The 18,897-nt window shown below is 58.0% G+C and overlaps 2 protein-coding genes across 9 annotated transcripts in view, besides 2 other annotated features; one reads left to right on the top strand and one right to left on the bottom strand.

Moving 5' to 3' along the window:
* The window catches only part of ERCC2 (ERCC excision repair 2, TFIIH core complex helicase subunit), a 20,737-nt gene extending 10,927 nt beyond the window's left edge, over positions 1 to 9,810 (top strand). For 4 of the 8 annotated variants that reach the window (NM_001440357.1, NM_001440356.1, NM_000400.4 and 1 more), the window contains 11 exons: positions 1,948 to 2,017; positions 2,104 to 2,173; positions 2,276 to 2,377; positions 3,919 to 3,982; positions 4,796 to 4,917; positions 6,313 to 6,405; positions 6,492 to 6,564; positions 6,831 to 6,901; positions 6,998 to 7,141; positions 7,295 to 7,438; positions 7,926 to 9,810. In NM_001440357.1, the coding sequence (NP_001427286.1) occupies positions 1,948 to 2,017; positions 2,104 to 2,173; positions 2,276 to 2,377; positions 3,919 to 3,982; positions 4,796 to 4,917; positions 6,313 to 6,405; positions 6,492 to 6,564; positions 6,831 to 6,901; positions 6,998 to 7,141; positions 7,295 to 7,438; positions 7,926 to 8,018 (1,046 nt within the window). In that variant the 3' untranslated portion in view covers positions 8,019 to 9,810. Of the gene's footprint in view, positions 1 to 734; positions 866 to 1,947; positions 2,018 to 2,103; positions 2,174 to 2,275; positions 2,378 to 3,918; positions 3,983 to 4,795; positions 4,918 to 6,312; positions 6,406 to 6,491; positions 6,565 to 6,830; positions 6,902 to 6,997; positions 7,142 to 7,294; positions 7,439 to 7,925 lie in introns of those variants that run through there. The other 4 variants (NR_199647.1, NR_199646.1, NR_199645.1 and 1 more) reach the window with 3 other exon arrangements.
* Positions 2,186 to 2,352: a silencer, noted in NCBI's record as "fragment chr19:45860553-45860719 (GRCh37/hg19 assembly coordinates)". NCBI's record gives its function as "represses an EF-1alpha promoter that drives an FKBP-Casp9 reporter gene in an ReSE screen in K562 erythroleukemia cells {active_cell/tissue: K562}" and the evidence as "EXISTENCE:reporter gene assay evidence [ECO:0000049][PMID:32094911]".
* Positions 8,128 to 18,897, bottom strand: KLC3 (kinesin light chain 3). Its single transcript, NM_177417.3, has 13 exons — positions 18,801 to 18,897; positions 13,848 to 14,113; positions 12,873 to 13,103; positions 12,131 to 12,200; positions 11,487 to 11,706; positions 10,914 to 11,001; positions 10,726 to 10,827; positions 10,045 to 10,218; positions 9,216 to 9,306; positions 9,096 to 9,133; positions 8,900 to 9,006; positions 8,630 to 8,693; positions 8,128 to 8,361 (listed from the first exon to the last, which is right to left on the bottom strand). Exons 2-13 carry the CDS (start codon positions 14,103 to 14,105, stop codon positions 8,290 to 8,292), a joined length of 1,515 nt encoding a protein of 504 aa, NP_803136.2. The 5' UTR covers positions 14,106 to 14,113; positions 18,801 to 18,897; the 3' UTR covers positions 8,128 to 8,289.
* Positions 12,822 to 13,116: a silencer, noted in NCBI's record as "tiled region #10062; HepG2 Repressive DNase matched - State 4:PromP". NCBI's record gives its function as "represses a minimal TATA promoter and a strong SV40 promoter by Sharpr-MPRA in HepG2 cells {active_cell/tissue: HepG2}" and the evidence as "EXISTENCE:reporter gene assay evidence [ECO:0000049][PMID:27701403]".

The raw sequence follows: 18,897 nt of genomic DNA, 5'->3' as shown, positions 1-18,897 counted from the left end.
GAGAGGCTGGGATATGGGGAGCGTGGTGCCTGGGTTTTGGGACCAGGGACAAGAGGAGTAGAGGCTGATGTTCAGATTTTCAGGTTACGAGAGAGGGACATCATTCTGGAGGCTTTATGGGCCGGTGTTCCCTCCCCATCCTCAGCGTGAAGCTGACCAGGGGCTCAGTCTGCCTCCTGGGGGTTTCTCCTGTACCCAGGAAACCAGATCGGGCCTCATGTCCTGCGGCAGGGCCTGACAGGAGGATGGAGATCTGGGCCCTTGCCCTGGGGCTGGGTAGCGAGGCCGGCTGGCTGCTGCTTCTGCCTCTGTCTCTCTGTCCTGCCCCATCTTCCATCCCTACCTTTGTCATTCTCTACCCACTATTTCCCATCTGCCAACACCTCATGGTCTTTCACCTGGATCATCCTTCCTCATCTTCCTCATCCCCCAACCACCTCCCCCTCATCCTTAGGTTCTCAGCTTAGTAGAGATGTCTTGTCCTCCAGGAAGCCCTCCCTGACCCCCAGGCTGAGTCAGGCCCCTCCTCTGGGCACCTCTGTCCCAGCACTGCCCACTCTCAGTCATCACTATCTGAGGACAAGTCTGTCTCCTACTGGACTGCGAACCCATGCGAGCAGGGGCAAGGCTGGCTTGGTCACCACTGTGTCCCCAGCACAGAGGACTTGATTTTTTTTCACTGTGTGAAACCGAATATGTAAATTCATTCATTCATTTATTTCTTCAACAAACAGGCCAGGCTCAGCACTGTGGAAGCAGCAGGAACCAAAAAAGATCTCATCCCTAACCCCCCAGAACTTATATTCCAGATGGGAAAACCAGTAGCAAAGATGCAGCCAAATAAACAAGGAAATAATTCCAGAAAGTGACAGTTATCATGAAAAAAAATACATTGTTGTGTTGGAATATGTCTGCGTAGAAAAGGTGGCTGGGGAGGGCCTCTCGGAGGGGCTGACTTTTGAGCAGTCTCAGATGACCAAATGGAGCAGCCTTGGGAGGTTTTCCAGGCCACATGGGACCAGCAAGTATAAAGGCCCTGGGGGGACTGAGCCTGCTGATTTTTGAAGGTCAGGCACCAGGCCACTGGAGGCATGTGGGGGCCATGGGAGGCTTCTTGGGGCGGGGAGGTGACATGGCTGGACTCAGGGACTCAGGTTTCCCTAGGGTCCCTCTGGCTGCCGTGAAGCGAGCAGGGGATGATGGGTCCAGGCAGGAGGTGATGGTGGCTGGCCCCGCGTGGGGTCGGGGGCAGTGGGCGAATTGCAGGTAGGTTTTGGAGGCAGAGCTGCCCGGCTTTGCTGATGGCTTAGGTAGAAAGGTCGTGGGAGGCCAGGTGCAGTGGCTCATACTTGTAATCCTGGCACTTTGGGAGCCTGAGGCGGGTGGACCACTGCAGGTCCCCCATCTCTACTAAAAATGTAGAAATTAGCTGGGTGTGTTGTAGGGGGGTGTCCCTATAATCCCAGCTACTCAAGAGGCTGAGGCAGGAGAATCAATCACTTGAACCCAGGAGGCTGAGCTTGCAGTGAGCCGAGATCATGCCACTGCACTCTAGCCTGGGCGACAGCGCGAGGCTCCATCTCAAAAAACAAAAACAAGAAAAGGTCATGGGAGAAAGCTTGAGGCTCTGGCTCCTGGCTTTGGCGTGGGTGCTGGGCAGCCCATGCGGTGCTGGGAGAGTGAGCAGTGGGCGGGGCTGTGGGCTCTCTACTTGGGATCCTTCGTGAAAGTTTGCACAGGTGTGGGCCCGAAGCGGACAGGTTGGGGTGTATTTTGGACTCAGATGCCTGGTTTGGGGCTTAAGCAGTCATGTTTGGTCGCATTTACTCCCAGGCAGTACGGGGTGGAGATTGGGGTGAAGCGAGGGAGCAGGAGAGGGAATGACTGAGTGGGTGCAGCTGTGGCTGTAGTGGGGTAATCTCACCCCTCCTTGCCTGCCCTCTGCAGGCTTCACCATCATCATCGAGCCCTTTGACGACAGAACCCCGACCATTGCCAACCCCATCCTGCACTTCAGGTGGGACCCTGCCCGGTGAGGGTGTGAATGCTCTGTGGGTCGGGGGCCCAGCCCCCCGGGCCCTCACTGCCCTCATCTCTCTCCAGCTGCATGGACGCCTCGCTGGCCATCAAACCCGTATTTGAGCGTTTCCAGTCTGTCATCATCACATCTGGGGTAAGGACCCTTCCCCGTCCCCTCCTAGTCCCTGACCTCCCTCCATGGGCCTCCTGGTCCCTGCCCAGTCCTGCTGAGATCCCTCCCACTGTCCCGCCACAGACACTGTCCCCGCTGGACATCTACCCCAAGATCCTGGACTTCCACCCCGTCACCATGGCAACCTTCACCATGACGCTGGCACGGGTCTGCCTCTGCCCTATGGTGAGTGGGAGAGGCTAGGGCTGGGGCCGGGAGGGGAGATGGGGGCAAGGGGCCGCCCTCCTTCCTTGGCTTCCCCCACTGCTCAGGCAGGAGAGCTTTACAGCGAAGAGGCTGGGTTCGGGATTCAGACAGACTTAGGCTTGATTCTGCTTCTCTGTGGGCTCGACTCTCAAGCCTCAGTTTTCTCATCTGTGAAATGGGAATGTATCCTCCCTGATCTCCCAGGGTGGTTGAGAGGATTGAGAGAGAGAACTGGGGTAAACCACTTAGGTCGCCCAGGGCCTGGCACAGGTAGGCGCTTAGTCAGCATCTTAGCATCTTGCCGAGTACGTGGTCTGGCTGTGACCCAGGTAAGTGAGCCTTCCTCTCCGTCTCCGTCTCTGTAACACGTGCATGTCAACATGAGCCCTCAGTCCCTTATCTGAAGTCCCCAGGCTGGATGTGGTTTTTTGTTTTTGTTGTGCGACGGAGTCTTGCTCTGTTGCCCAGGCTGGAGTGCAGTGGCACGGATCTCAGCTCACTGCAACCTCCGCCTCCTGGATTCAGGTGATTCTGATGCTTCAGCCTCCTGAGTAGCTGGTACAGGCATGTGCCACGATGCCCAGCTAATTTTTGTAATTTTAGTAGAGACGGGGTTTCACCACGTTGGCCAGGCTGGTCTGAAACTCCTGACCTCAAGTGATCCGCCCGCCTGGTCCTCCCGAAGTGCTGGGATTACAGGTGTAAGCCACTGCGCGCAGCCATTTGTTTTGGAATTCAGAATTTTCCAGCCTTTAGAGACAAGGCCTATGCTGTGTGGTGTGTGATGCCCACAGTGGGGTCTGGGCAGCTCCCCCGAGTCAAACTCCCATTTCGGCAGTAAAAGATTGGGAAGCATCACACTAAGGAGTAAGTCAGGCCTCTGGAGAGACTCGGGGCAGGGCAGGTTTTGCTGCTTCATGAGTTTGTGCCAAACTTGAAAAAGAAATGTGTTCAGAGCTTTTGGCTTTTGGAGTTGCCTGTCAGAGGTTGTGGACCGGTAATGACCCCCACTGCATGGTGGTTGTGTGAGGTTGCCGGCTGGTGGGATGCCCGCCGGCATGGCGAGGGGTGTTCTTCGGGATCCGGCTGGCCCAGGGCCTGGGGCTGGCTAGAGTGTAGCTGCTGTTGGAGAGTGTGGACAGACTCGGGTCCGGTTCCATCTTTGCCACCTGTTTGCTGTGTGACCTTGGGCAGGCAACTCACCTTCTCTGAGCCCAGGTCATTTGTGCAATGCAGATAACAGGGTTGCTGAGGGTTCATTCAATGACACTGTGTTTATAAAAAGTTTAGAGCAGACTGGGTGTGGTGGCTCATGCTTGTAATCCCAGCACTCTGGGAGGCCAAGGCGGGATGGTCACTTGAGGCCAGGTGTTCAAGATCAGCCTGGGCAACATGGTGACACCCTGTCTCTCTTTAAAAAAAAAAAAAAAAAAAGCTTAGAACAGCACCAGCAGGTGGTCAGCACTCACGCTGGAGCAGTTGCTGCTGCCTCGCTTATCGTGACCTCTGTTGCTCTCCAGATCATCGGCCGTGGCAATGACCAGGTGGCCATCAGCTCCAAATTTGAGACCCGGGAGGATATTGGTATGCTGCCAGTGGGGCTGGTTTCTGTGGGTTCCAAGAGGGGAGGTGTATCAGTCAGGTGGGCTGAGTCATGCTGCTGTAACAAATATCCCTGGCCTTAGTTGCTCAGCCCAGAGTTTCCTTCTTGCCCGTGGTACACGTCCACTGTGAGCTGGTAGGGGCCTGCCCTGTGTCTCCTCACCTGGGAACCTCCACCGCTGGGTGTGTCAGAGGCAGCATAATGTGACAGGTGGGATCACAGTGGTCACAGTGTATTGTGCACTGGTTCCTAAGGGTGCTCCCCTGGAAGTGACACATGGCCTTTTTTTGAGACAGAGTCTTGCTCTGTTGCCTAGGCTGGAGTGCAGTGGCATGATCTCGGCTCACTGCAGTCTCTGCCTTGCGGGTTCAAGCGATTCTCATGCCTCAGCCTCCCGAGTAGCTGGGATTACAGGCCTCTGCCGCCACGCTGGGCTAATTTTTGTATTTTTAGTAGAGATGGGGTTTCGCCATGTTGGCCAGGCTGATCTCAAACTCCTGACTTCAGATGATCCACCCGCCTCGGCCTCCCAAAGTGCTGGGATTACAGGCGTGAGCCACAGCGCCCGGCCCCTTCTGCACTCATTTCATTGGCCATGGCAAATCACATAGCCAGGTGTGACTTCAGGAAGTGGCAAGGCGGGTCCTCAGACACGCCCGGGAGGAGGAGGAGGGGGATATGTGTGAAAAGCCTGACAGGCAGCCTCAGTGGGGTTTCCAGAAACTCCTAGTTCTAAGACAGAGAAGGGAGGAGGACCTGGGCCAGGAGAGGGCCCAACCTCTGACCCCTTGCAGCTGTGATCCGGAACTATGGGAACCTCCTGCTGGAGATGTCCGCTGTGGTCCCTGATGGCATCGTGGCCTTCTTCACCAGCTACCAGTACATGGAGAGCACCGTGGCCTCCTGGTATGAGCAGGTACGCCTGGCCACCCCCTCCCTGCACCTGCTCTCCTCAGTCCCTGGCACTGCACCGCTATGTCAGCTTCATTCCTCTCACACTCTGATGGTGACAGGTTTCCTGTGTGACAGGAGAGTGTGTGCAGCATGTAGGAATGGGGTGTAAGCAGCACACACCCCCATGCCCCGCCCCCAGTACATCAGGCTGAGAATGCAGATATAAGCCCCAATGTGGGCCCCTCCCTCAGAGGAGTACCCTGTGGCAGAGTCACCCCCACGTTCTAGGTTCCTTGCTTCTCTGCTGCTTTTGGGGTTACCCATCCCTGTTATCCTCCAGCACAGATGGCCTGGTGGGGAGGCCCAGATAGCAGGCGTGGCTCTAGCTGGGTTAGAGGAATTCTAGAGAATTAAGGCTGGACCAAGACTCGGGGCGAGCCTCTCAAGGGTCTGCAGGAGCCCCTTCAGGGAAGCAGCTAGAGGAGGTCGTGGGGCATTCTGGAAACAGGGCTCACCACAGCCAGGCCCTGGGTGACCAGCAGGACATGGGTGGGAGGGGAGGCCACTCTGCACTTTGTGCCTCTGAGCACACCATGGCCGGGCTCTCAGGAGTGGGTGAAAGCACTTTGGGGTGAGGTGAGTGAACTTGGCTAATCCAGGTATTGGAAAGGCACGCATGGGAGGCGGGAACGTCATCCTCACAGCCAGGACATCGGCCTTGTGCTTCAATAGGCGGCTTCCACGCGGCGGGAAAGGTGACCCAGTCCCCACAGCGCAGGTGCCTTTTGTGTCCTACTTAAGACACCTTTGCCTACCCCAAGGTCATAGAGAGAGGCTCCTTTGTTTCCTTCTAGGAGCTTGTGGTTTTAGCTTTCACATCCAGGTCTATGAGGTACCTCAAATTCATCTTTCTATGTGGTGTGAAGTAGGGGGTCAAGGTTCATTTTTTGGTTCCATTTGAAAATCCACTTGCTCCAGTAAAAGCTCTCCCCACTGAACTGCACAGGTGGCTGTGTGTTTCTGGACTCTCCATTCTGTCCCAGTGGTCTGTCCTTGCATTGGCTCCACACTGTCTCTATTGTAGTGTCATATGGGAAGTCTCAGGGCAGCCTCTGATTGGCTCTGCCTGCCTCACAGTCAGCCCCTCCACCAATCGCTGGCAGGGGTTGGGGTGCCCTGATTGGCCACCCGCTTGGGCCACATGCCTGCCCCACTTATCCAGCAATGATTGGTTCCCCACCCAGATCACTGTTTCCCCAAAGAACTGAGGTTGGACAATTCCACCCTCCCTCACCACATCTCAGATGAGCCAGCTGAGGCCCAGAGACATGGTGATGTGGGAGTCCCCAGAAGAGTTGGATGTAACCAGGATGGCTGTGCCCTGAACCCACCCTGACCTCCCTGGGTCCTTCCCCAGGGGATCCTTGAGAACATCCAGAGGAACAAGCTGCTCTTTATTGAGACCCAGGATGGTGCCGAAACCAGTGTCGCCCTGGAGAAGTACCAGGAGGTGGGTGTGCGAGGCCAGCGTGGAGAGGGGTCGGGGAGGTGGCTCTGAGGAGTGACCTAACTTGCGTCTCGGTCTCCCCACCTCAGGCCTGCGAGAATGGCCGCGGGGCCATCCTGCTGTCAGTGGCCCGGGGCAAAGTGTCCGAGGGAATCGACTTTGGTGAGTGGACTGGGCTCTTCCTCCCCAGGTGTCTTCCCAGAGCTCTCTGGAACACCTGCCCGCTCTGCTGTCTGCTCCCGCGGGGAACCACCCACCCCCAGCCTAGGTGCACAGAGGGGCCCTCCCCTCCCCTCTGTCCCTAGGCACCCGGCGGGAACACACCCTCTCCCCCCAACTCAGACACAGCATCCTGGGTCGCGTGAGGCTGTCCCTGTCCCACCAGCCACACTTGTAACCCCCCTCGCCCCCTCTCCTCTGCCCACCAGTGCACCACTACGGGCGGGCCGTCATCATGTTTGGCGTCCCCTACGTCTACACACAGAGCCGCATTCTCAAGGTGAGTAGCTCTGTCTCCCAGGGAGTCCCACAGTGTTAGGATCAAGGGAGGAGTGGCTCCCCCACCTCCCCAGCTTCTCATCCTCCGTATCTGCAGGCGCGGCTGGAATACCTGCGGGACCAGTTCCAGATTCGTGAGAATGACTTTCTTACCTTCGATGCCATGCGCCACGCGGCCCAGTGTGTGGGTCGGGCCATCAGGGGCAAGACGGACTACGGCCTCATGGTCTTTGCCGACAAGGTGCAGCTTCAGGGGTGCCCCTGTGCTCCCATCCCAGGCTCCAAGAACCAGGCTGTTTCCCGTTCATTTCCCAGGTGGGGTGGGTTGCAGGGTGGAGAGTGGCCCAGGCTCCCCGAATGACCTTCTGTCCCTGGCCTGCGCTTCTGCCCACAGCGGTTTGCCCGTGGGGACAAGCGGGGGAAGCTGCCCCGCTGGATCCAGGAGCACCTCACAGATGCCAACCTCAACCTGACCGTGGACGAGGGTGTCCAGGTGGCCAAGTACTTCCTGCGGCAGATGGCACAGCCCTTCCACCGGGTGAGGCCTGCGTCCCCCTCCCGGCACCCTCCCAGGCTGAGCTTCTCCTCCAGAAAGTCCCCTTGGATTCTCCCCACTCCCCACCCTCAGCCTGCCTGTCCTCCTGCCCTCAGCAAAGAGAAGTTTATCGTGCATCTACGTGCCAGGCTCTGGGGGGAAGGGGGAGATTCGAGGGGCCACAGATGCCAGCAGGTGGCCCAGGCACGGCAGGGTGAGAGAAGTTGGGGTGAGGAGGCATTGGGCGTTTTCAGGAGAGACGGTGCTGGCCTGGAGAAAGCCGGTCCTTCTCCGACTCCCTAGCTGGCTCCTCCCTCAGCCCCATCTTATGTTGACAGGGATGGCCCGCTCTGGATTATACGGACATCTCCAAATTCATTCAAACATCCTGTCCCTACTGGCCATTCGGGGGGGTGGTTGGGGAAGTGCAGCAGCTGCCTGGGCCCCTGCCCAACAGTGCCCCCCTCTCCCTTTCCTCTGTTCTCTGCAGGAGGATCAGCTGGGCCTGTCCCTGCTCAGCCTGGAGCAGCTAGAATCAGAGGAGACGCTGAAGAGGATAGAGCAGATTGCTCAGCAGCTCTGAGTGGGGCGGGTGGGGCCATAAACGGTTCCTGGTGACTCCTGAGTCTTGCCTGGCCCTGGTTCCCAGCGGCGGTGGTGCTAGAAGGTCTTATGAAGTCAGGTGACATTTCTCACTGTCACGTCCACAGCCTTTAATCGCAGGAGAAGGCAGCTATCCACCAGGTACCCAGAGGCAAGGGGGGGCCAGGAGATGATAGACCCCCTCTCACCCCACCAGCCCATCCCTCCTGCACTGTTCCCAAGAAGCTGCGGCCAGCGCAGTTCACTGGACGTTAGTGGGGGCTCAGGTCCTGGGTGCTGGCGCTGAGGGTCCGAGGGGCCTTGTCCAGGTGCCAGCTGGGAAACTGGAGACAGGCACAGGGGATGGTTGGAGGGGAGGTGAGGGGCAAGTGTTACATCCACCCTCCAGCTCCAGGTCCAGCCTGGCAGCCAACTATCCAACCCCCTCGCCTCTACCCCAAGTAAAACCCATCTTTGCTCCTGTCCTGGGTCTCTTCTGACACCAACCCACCACCTGCTGACTCCACCACTGGCCCGACCGCCCTGCCTTTGCCTCATCTCTGCACCTACCCACATGGCCTCCTCTATTTTTGACCCAGATGTCCCCCTCACCTGAGTCCCAGGAGCCCTTGGAGCATCCACGTTCAGTGTGTTGAGTGACATGGCTCTCTTCATTCTGCAAAGAGGGCAGCAGGGAGGAAATGAGTGAATCCAGGAGTGGCCCCCCTCCACGAGGGACCTTTCCAGCACAGGGTTTGATCTGTGTGTATCACAGGGGAGATGGGAGCCATGGAAGGTTCTTGAGCAAGATGGGGGTGGGGGTGGGGTGGGCTGTGGATTCTGCTGATGTCAGGGCTCTTTGCCGACCTGATCAACACTCACCCGGCTGCTCCTGCCGCCGCCTCGCCTCGGAGCCGGGAGACCAGCTTCTCACTTCCTCGCCTGATAGACTCACGGATCTTGGAGAGTGAGCTGCTGCGGCGAAGGGCCTGGGGAGGGGCCGGGGATGCTGCTCAGTCCCCCAGGCCCATGCAGTCCCCACGCCCACCCCAGGAGCCGAAGCACAGCCCATCCTCACCTGTTCTGCGTCACCAGCTGTGCCTGTGTTGGGGGCACCTAGGGGGAAAGATGGGGGACACTGAGATGGGGACATAGAGAAGCCACCAGGAGGGAAGACAGACAGGGGCTAGGGGCTCACCGAGAGGGGCGGGTAGGTCCTCCTTGTGGAGGATTTCTTTGTACAGCTCTTCCGCTTGTTGATACTTGTTCTGTTTCAGGTAGGCTGAGGCCTGCGGAGAAGGGAGTGTCTGGGAACTTTTCGGACCCCAGTTCCCAACACTGCATCCAGTCCCGCCTTTTTTTTTTTTTTTGTAGAGACAGGGGTCTTGGTATGTTGCCCAGGCTGGTCTTGAACTCCTAGCCTCAAGTGATCCTCCTGCCTTGGCCTCCCAAAGTGTTGGGGTTACAAGCGTGAACCACCACGTCTGGCCCCACTTTCTAATGTGCTGACCTGGCCGTATCCTTCCCCTGCCTAAAGCCTTGCCCTGGGGCAGAGTGGGTTTGGAGCTCGGCCTTACTTCCTGCCCTGGGGATGGAGGACAGGCAGCCTCCTGTTTCTGAGCCTGTCTGCTGTACTTTGGGCTGGTGGCATGGCCTCGGTGCCTCAGTCTTCCCACACGCAAAGTGGAGCGACAGCTCCCACCTCATAGGGACGCTATAAGAACTAGCGATGTGGGGACCGGGCTAAGAGGGGAGCCGGCCACAGTGAGCTCAATAAATGTCTGCTGCTGCCACCTGTGCCTGCCAGCTTCCGCTTCACTGGCTGTCCTCTGGCTGCCGTGGACTTACGCGTTTCCTGATTCCGTGTTCTGTGCTGAGCCAGCTCCTGTGTCTGACACTTGCTCCAAGGGCCCGGCCTGGGGGGCCCCCCCCCACCCTCACGTTGCTCACCCTGTATCCAACCAATGGGTGCCTCCCCAGGGCAGGACCCTCCACTCTTGGCCCACTCTGAGCCCCAGGGGCCTCACCAGGTTGTTCTTGGTCTTGGCCACGTTGGGGTCATGGGGCCCGCCCAGTGCCTCATAGATGCTCAGGGCCCGGGCATAGTGCCGCTCCACGTCCTCAAACTTGCCCTGGTTCTGGCACAGCAGGGCCAGGTTGTTGAGCTGCTTGGCCACATCTGGGTGGTCAGCACCCAGGACCTGGGGGCCAGGGGTCACAAGTCAGAGGGATCATACAGGATTGGTGGGACACGTGACATCACTGCTGTATGGTGGTCATGAGTTGGGGATTACAGGGTCAAAGCAGAGAGTGACCTGAGAGGTTGGGGGCTGGGGACACAAGTTATACCATCTAACGGGATTACCAAGGTCAGAGGTCATGGTGGTCCAGAAACGTGGGGCACAGGGTGAGATGGGTAGGTCAGGGTTGGGCTTGTGCTGGTGGCCATGAGGGGTTGGAAAGGCTATGGGGGGACCCAGTTGGAGGGTGATGTGTGAGGTAAGGCGAGAGGTCAGTCAGGGTCAAGACCAAACTGGGATCTCAGAAGGTCAAGGGTGATGGGTTGGGTGATCTAGGCTCCAACTGGGGTCTCCCAATACCAAACGCAAGGGGCCCGAGGGTCAGGGTCACGATGTACGTGCTCAGCATCCCTGGGGAGGGCTACATGGGACAAGGGGTTCCTCGGGGTGGGGTGAGGGGGATGGGACCTTCTCTCGGATCTCCAAAGCGCGCTGGCACAGGGGCTCTGCCTCCCGGTAACGCCCACGCTTCCCATAGAGGACAGCCAAGTTGTTGAGCGTGGCGGCCACCTGCGGGGTTGGGGGAGGCACAGGTCAGGGATGGGCAGGTGTGGCCCCACTTTGACCCCACTTCGTCTCCCTGGGGCCCCACTCACCGCGGGGTGCTCAGGGCCCAGCGTCTGCTCCCGGATCTGCAGGGCATCATGGAGAAGGTCTGTGGCTTCTTTGTACTTGTTCTGGTCCCTGTGGGGGGCGCCCCAGGAATGGAGGGGGTTAGCCAAGGGTTGGGGCAGCTGCAGCCACAGGGGCTGGGCCAATCCTGACAGGCCCAGGGAACCTGGCTGAACCAAGCATGGGTGGCACACCCTTTGAGGGCCTTTTGTGGGCCCCTCCATATTTCGCAATTCTCTAACACTGGGCCCTGTACCCCCAGACCTCTGCCAAGCTTCTAGCCACCCCAGGTCTCCTGCCTGCTCTGTTGGGGTCCCTGGTGTCCGTGCTCTCTGACTCCTCTCTGCCTGGCTCAGTGGCCCCCCCAGATCCCTGTCCCACTCCCTCTTTGCCGTTCTCACAGCAGGAGCCTTCCCTTCCTTTCCCATTCTTGCTGTCCCCTCCCCTGACCTCCCTAGGTGCTCCATGGTGACAGAGGGGGCACCAGGATCCTTCCACTTGCACCCAATGGGTCCCTGCCGTTCCTGCCCCCAGCCATGGCTGGCCGCAGTGCTCACCGGTACACCAGCGCCAGGATGTTGAGCATGGTGGCCACGTCAGGGTGGCAGTGGCCCGAGCTGCGCTCCAGGTCCTCCAAGGCCTGGCGGCACAGAGGCACCGCCACCTCATAGCGGCCCTGCCCCGCGTACTGGATCACGAGGTTATGCAGGGTCCGAAGGCGGGCAGGGATCTCATAGCCACCCTGCTGAGCAGCTGCTGCTCCTGCGGCCTCAGGACCTAGGTGGGGTGGGGTGGGCTCTGGGTCACTGCAAGCCTCCTGCCCCTCCAGCCTCGCATGAGGGGACACGTGCCTCAGAACTGCCGGACTGCCTAACTGGCCCCTGGGACTATGGGCCCCCACGCTAACTTCTGAGATAGGAGTCACTAGCATCTAACCAGCTGGTGGGATGCATCCTGGCCTCGGGACAGGAACACGGCAGCCCACCTGCCCTGTGGGATGTGAATACGGGGCCTGCCAGGCTCATAGCGGCTACCCTGTCTTTGTGGCTCCCAGCCTCACCTGCACTGTCACATTCAGGGTCCTCCTCACCCTGCCCTCACCTCCCCATCCCCTGGCTCAGAGATTTTGGGGTCCTGCAGCTCAGAGCCCCCTCCCCACCCTGGCCTGCCATCCTCTGTGGCATGTACTCCCAACACCCACCTTTCCTCTCCTCCTCCTCGCTGGGGAACAGGGAGGCCAGGCTGTCTCGGCGAGGCGGGGACTCAGACTGCTGCAGAGACAGGAAAGTGGGGGGCCGGGGTGGTGGGGGCTTGTTTCAGAGACCGGGGCCCTGGCTCTATCTCAGGTTTTTGTTTTTTTGTTTTTTTTTTTTTTTTGAGACGGAGTTTCGCTTGTTGCACAGGCTGGAGTGCAATGGTGCGATCTTGGCTCACAGCAACCTCCACCTCCTGGGTTCAAGCCATTCTCCTGCCTCAGCTTCCGGAGTAGCTGGGATTACAGGCATGTGCCACCACACCCGGCTAATTTTGTATTTTTAGTAGAGACGGGGTTTCTCCATGTTGGTCATGCTGGTCTTGAAATCCGGACCTCAGGTGATCTGCTCGCCTCGGCCTCCCAAAGTGTTGGGATTACAGGCGTGAGCCACCGCACCCAGCCTATCTCAAGGTTTGAGGGAGGTGGTGGTCACGAGCGTCAGAGGCCCCCTGGGGGTCTGGCGAGGCTCGGGGGCTTCGTGGAGTAGCTAGTGGGGGCGTCTGTGGAAGTTCTGGTGGGTCTGGGGGCTCTGTGGAGGGTTGGGGGACTGTGGCATTCTAAGGAGGGTCTGGGGGACTGTGGGATTCTAAGGAGGATCTTGGGGACTGTGGGATTCTAAGGAGGGTCTGGGGGACTGTGGGGCTCTATGAAGGGCCCAGCACCCCCCGCCTCGCCCTGCCCGTGGCACCTGGCTCTCCGCCGGTGGGTCGTACTGTCGCAGCTGCCCCAGGAACTCCAGGTGGCGCTTCTCCTCCTCCAGCTGGGCCACGGACTCCTCGCTGGCCCGAAGCCGCCGCTGCGTCTCCTCCAGTTCCTCCCGCAGCCACACGTTCTCCTGGGCCAGCCGCCGGGCCTGCGAGCGCAGCCGCTGCTTCTCTGCCTCCAGTGCACCCACATGTGCCGACAGGGCCAGCAGCACCTGCCCGGGGTGGGGGTCCCAAGTCGAGGTTGGTTCCTGCCCTGCCAGACGGCCCCTGACCCAGCCCAGGCCTCGAGTCAGGCCGTAGCACCCCACTACTATGCACGACACCCCCAGATTCTGCAGAGACTCTGCCAACATGGCCCCAGTGCCCTCAGAGGCTCCCAGGGGCCCCTCTGATTTTACCCCCAAACTTGCCCTAGGACCCACAGTTTACTGAAGAATGCCATCTGGTTCAGGGGTCCCTGTCACACACAAGGACCCCCTAAAGCTGCCAAGGGACTCCATCTCTGACCTGGAGCCTCCCCTTCCCAGGCCTGGTTCCCCTAGGCCTCCCCCTGCCCCGGATGTGCCTCTCTGCCATACTTTTTTCTGTTGTTTTTTGGGACAGTCTCTCTCTGTCACCCAGACTGGAGTGGAATGGCACGATCTCCACTCACTGCAACCTCCGCCTCCCAGGTTCAAGCGATTCTCATGCCTCAGCCTCCTGAGTAGCCGGGATTACAGGAGCCCTCATGCCCAGCTACTTTTTGTATTTTTAGTAGAGATGGGGTTTTCCCATGTTGGCCAGGCTGGTCTTGAACTCCTGACCTCAAGTGATCTGCCCACCTCAGCCTCCCAAAGTGTGCCCCTCTGCAATAGTGAACCCTCTCCCAGTCCCCTACATACCTGTCCCCCTCATGCCTGGCCCTCCCTCCGCCCTCAGCTGACCTTCCCCCAGCTCCCCACCTGGCCCCCTCATACCTGGGCCTCGCCCAGCCCCAGCTCGATGGCCTCCAGCGAGTGGCTCACCACCTGCTGCTTTTCCTCCAGCATCTCCAAGCCGGCTGCCGGGCCCTGTCCCGCCAGGGCCTCCGCCAGGTGCCCAGCCAGGCCATGGTGCTCTGCCCGCAGCGCCTCCAGCCCCTGGACCACTTGCCGCGTCTGCCGCACCAGCTCCTCAGGGCTCAGGCGCTCTGGGCCCAGCCCTGCACTTCCAGGAGCCGCTACCTGCACAGACATTGCTGCTCCTGGGGAGCAATGGTGAGGGGTTTGGGGAATCATTGCCCGGGCCAGTCAGTTGGCCCCCAGCCTCTATTCCCATAATGGCCATCAGGACCCCTAACTTCTCCCCATCCTGGCTCTTCCCTGCTCCACCCATCCTGGCCAGCCCTCTGCCTCCACACCCTCTCCATCCCAGTCTCCACACCCATCCCAGCCAGCTCTCATCTGGAACAGTCTTGTCTACCTTCGTCTGTCCTCCCAACCCAGGGTTCTGCCCTGAGGACAGTTCCCAAATCCTATGTGTAATTAACCAAGAGAAAGCAAACAGCTAGCCTGGGGTCCCCCATCTGCCCTCAGCTCACCTGGCCAGCCTTCCCCACCCCAAGGCCCTTGGATCCCCTGGCCCAGAGCTCCCGGTTGGCCGTGTGACCTGGGACCAGAGGCACCCTCCTCTGCCGGCAGAGTGAGGCGGGGCGTGTGGAGGCGGCAGCCTCTGCGTGAGCTCATTCTTAGGGTGTTTTTGTCGGGAACCAGTCAGACCACTGGGGGTGGGTGGGGTGGGAGGAGAGGGCCGAGGGGCCAGGGCCCCCAGAAGCCCAGGAGGCCTCTAGGTTGGGGGGAATGAGGATGGGGCCATGTGTTGGCTCCCAGGCAACAGATGGACCCTGGGGGAACAGGGGCTCCGCCCTCCTCCATCGGACAAGCTTAGCCAGCCCAGGGCCTGTCGGGACACACGTGTGATAGGTGTGGTCCAGGTATGTCACACTGGCCATGTGACAGCTGAGAGTCTGAAGCCCAGCTCATAGTGGGTGGGGGCCCCCCTCTATGGGACTTCATGTGGTTGTATGTGGGTGACAAGGTCACAGAAACTTAGCTGGTGGTGCCTCTGGGGTCCTCATATACACACAAACACACTCCTCAGAAACACCTCACACACCCGCACCCTCCCTTCTTAAAGACACAATGCAACATACACATTTTCCTCTCCGAAATACAATTTGACACACACACGCACTCTCCCTTCTCTCCAATACAACATGGGGCCAGGTGTAGTGGCTCACGCCTGTAATGCCAGCACTTTGGGAGGCCAAGGTGGGTAAATCACTTGAGGCCAAGAGTTCAAGACCAGCCTGGCCAACAGGGTGAAACCCTGTCTCTACTGGAAAAAAAAAAAAAAAAATAGCAGAGCATGGTGGCGCATGCCTGTAGTCCCAGCTACTTGGGAGGCTGAGGCAGGAGAATTGCTTGAACCCGGGAGGCGGAGGTTGCAGTGAGCCAAGGTCGCACCACTGCAATCCAGCCTGGGCAACAGAGTGAGACTTCATTTAAAAAAAAAAAAAAAAAAGACGGTACACACACACACCCTCCCAGAAATACAGTTACACACACACACACACACACACACTCCCTCATTAGAAACACAATGTAGGCCGGGTGCGGTGGCTCACACCTGTACTCCGAGCACTTTGGGATTTTGGCTGAGGCAGGAGGATCACTTGAGCCCAGGAGTTCAAGACCAGCCTGGGAAACATAGTGAGACCCCATCCCTACAAAAATAAAAATAAAAAAATTAGCTGGGTGTGGTGATGGTGTACCTGGAGGCTGAGGTAGAAGGATTGCTTGAACCCAGGAGGTTGAAGCTGCAGTGAGCCATGATAGTGCCACTGCACTCAGCCTGGGTGAAAGAGTAAGACCCAGTCAAAAAAGAAAGAAAGAAAGGACAGCATAATATACATTCTCCTCTTAGAACACGCACTCACTTTCTCCTATTAAATATACAACTCAGTAAAAACATTTACATTTTCCTTTTAGAAATACAACCTAAGACAACACACTGACTCAGGCACACACATATACTATTCTTTCAAAAACAATCTGTATACACTCCCAACACACAGGTATATTCTCTTAGAAATAAAAACCAAGCCTGGGCGCGGTGGCTCACGCCTGTAATCCCAGCACTTTGGGAGGCCGAGGTGGGTGGATCAGTTGAGGTCAGGAGTTTGAGACTGGCCTGGCCAACATGGTGAAACCCCGGCTCTACTAAAAATACAAAATTAGCCAGGCATGGTGGTATGCGCCTGTAGTCCCCAGCTACTCATGAGGCTGAGGCATGAGAATTGCTTGAACCTGAGAGGCGGAGGTTGCAGTGAGCCAAGATCACGCCACCACACTCCAGCCTGGGTGACAAGAGCAAAACTCCGTGTCAAAAAGTGATAATATTATTTAAAAAAAAGAAAGAAAAGCCAACCCACGCAGAAACTAACTCTGTCTCTCCCACTCCCCAAATCACTCACATTCAGACCATCTCCTTGCACTTGACCGTGACACTCGCTGTCCCCCGAACTCACATGGCTCCCAAGCAGCCAACTCCCCACAATGTGCCCAACGCACCTCCAGATGCACACACTCCCAAGATTCACTATGGATCCCTCGCCAGTTTCCCTACTTCCTCTCCCTCCCACTCCAGGCCTGGCCAGCAGGGACTCCCACACCTACACGCCATGCACACACAAGTACTCAGATTCAGCTCCACTGTCGGAACAGAGAGCTGTGAATACGCGTGGAGGGATGCCACGTTCTCGCACACTTCACTCAAGCCACTGCATCCACCATAAGCAGCCCAGCGGTTTTTGCACATGTTGTACATGCACGATCACATACAGTAAGGGTCCTGTACGTTTTGTGCACCACAGACTTGATCGTCATTGATCTCTCCCTCTCTCTAGATATATGTATGTGTATATATGTGATGTATATATCAACCTTTAAAAAATTTAATTTTATTTTTTTGAGACTGAGTCTCGCTCTGTTGCCCAGACTGGAGTGCAATGGCATGATGTTGGCTCACTGCGATCTCCACCTCCCCAGGTTCAAGCGATTCTCCTCCCTCACCCTCCCAAGTAGCTGGAATTACAGGTGCCCGCCACCACACCTGGCTAATTTTTGTATTTTTAGTACAGACGGGGTTTCACCATGTTGGCCGGGCTGGTCTCAAACTCCTGACCTCAAATGATCCACCCGCTCCCCCCTTGGCCTCCCAAAGTGCTGGGATTACAGGCGTGAGCTACCGCGCCCAGCCAACCTTTTTTTAATTTTTAAAAAACTAAACTATGCCCAGCTAATTTTTGTTTTTGTAGAGACGGGGTATCACCATATTGCCCAGGCTAGTCTAGGATTCCTGGGTTCAAGCAATCCCCGCCGCCTCAGCCTCCCAAAGTGTTGAGATTACAGGTATGAGCCACTGCACCCGGCCAATCTGTGTGCTTGTGTATATCACACCATACCTATTCTCACACCTCACACACAAACATCATAAATGGTTGAACTCACAACCACACAGGTTCAAGAGTCATCCTGACAACCACAACCATTCTTCACACAATTTTGCCGATGTAAAACCTCCCTCTATAACCTCAGACACAGCCTTACACACACCACTCCACAGCCAGATTGACAACCACAGCAACAAACACGGCTCAACCACAGCCATCCAGCACTCGGGCTGTGTCCCAGACACACAGCAGCTCCCACACTCACACAGAGCCCCGGGTGCACAACCGCACAGCTGATAATCATAGGCACAGTCCCACACACTGATCCCTGACGCGGACCCCCTTTTCCATCCTGTCACCCGCTTGGAGGAGCATCCCACTTAAATGTCCACGTCTCCACTCCCATCTCCCACAAACTCTCCGTTGCACACCACTGCCAGCCACGGTATCAATGCAGATCACACACCCTCTAGTTCCTCTCTACACACACACACACACACACACACACGCACACACGGCTTCACACACCTCCACACCTCACTCATCCAACCCCAAGGTTCCACGCGCACCGTCCCATGAAACAGCTCCACTTCTGGACACAGTTCCGCCCAGCCCCATGCACCATCACAGTGACACACAATCAAAAGTCAATCATAGTCACCTATCACTGATCCAGTGCCACACTGTCCACCACACGCGCGCGCGCACACACACACACACACACACACACCAACAGGCAGAAAGACAACCACAGCCGCACAGCCTCTTGGTCAATCACACCTAATCCTACAACCAGTTCCACTCTCTGCCATGAAGACAGCCACACACACAGCCACACACATGCACATCAGGCCAAGCAGAAAGTCGACTACAGTCGCACTAGCTCTTGGTCGTAAAGTGCTACCAGCAATCCAATTCTACACACACACCATTCCAGTCAGAGGTCGCCCACGTTTTCACATTGCTAAAAGTGTCACATCATACACACAGTCCCATCACAGGGTTACACGGACAGTCGCTTTCACCCTCATACCCACAGCCTGACACACTCTCTTACACACACGCAAAGCCACACACACACACACACACACACACACAAACACAGGCAGGCAGGAGACTCCCATCGTGGCCCAGCCCCGCAAGCCGCACCAACTTACCCTGGCCTGCCCAGCCCCGCGCACCAGGCTCACCCGCAGTCACAAGGGCCCCCTCCCTCTCCCTCCCAGGCCCCGCCCCGTCCTCGCTGTTTACCTGCGCTGGGGTGGGGGGCATGGGACCCCAGCCAGGCCTCCAGATCCCGGAGAGCCCCAGGACGGGGCAGGGGGCATCCGGGAGCCCCAAGGCCCTTCCCCGTCTCAGGGCGAGCGGGCCCAGGGTTGCCCCCGCCCCCCATCATCGCGGCTCTCCGAGAGTCCCGCGCCCCACTCCCGGCACCCACCTGACCGCGGGCGGCTCCGGCCCCGCTTCGCCCCACTGCGATCAGTCGCGTCCCGCAGGCCAGGCACGCCCCGCCGCTCCCGCTGCGCCGGGCGTCT

The sequence above is a fragment of the Homo sapiens genome, chromosome 19 (genome assembly GCF_000001405.40).
Source record: "Homo sapiens chromosome 19, GRCh38.p14 Primary Assembly".
Lineage (NCBI taxonomy): Eukaryota > Metazoa > Chordata > Mammalia > Primates > Hominidae > Homo > Homo sapiens.
The sequence above is the reverse complement of the archived record's forward strand: the minus strand, read 5'-3'. Positions and strand labels throughout refer to the sequence as shown.

Bases quoted from the DNA above. Each gene is read 5' to 3' on its own strand.
- KLC3 (NM_177417.3), bottom strand. From the start codon at position 14,105: ATGTCTGTGCAGGTAGCGGCTCCTGGAAGTGCAGGGCTGGGCCCAGAG. The intron at 9,134-9,215 runs GTGAGCCCCTAG...CTTTCCCCCTAG, and splicing joins GGACCTACCCGCCCCTCTCG to GTGCCCCCAACACAGGCACA. The intron at 8,362-8,629 runs GTGAGGGGGACA...GCCTGTCTCCAG, and splicing joins CAAGGGCTCCTGGGACTCAG to TTTCCCAGCTGGCACCTGGA.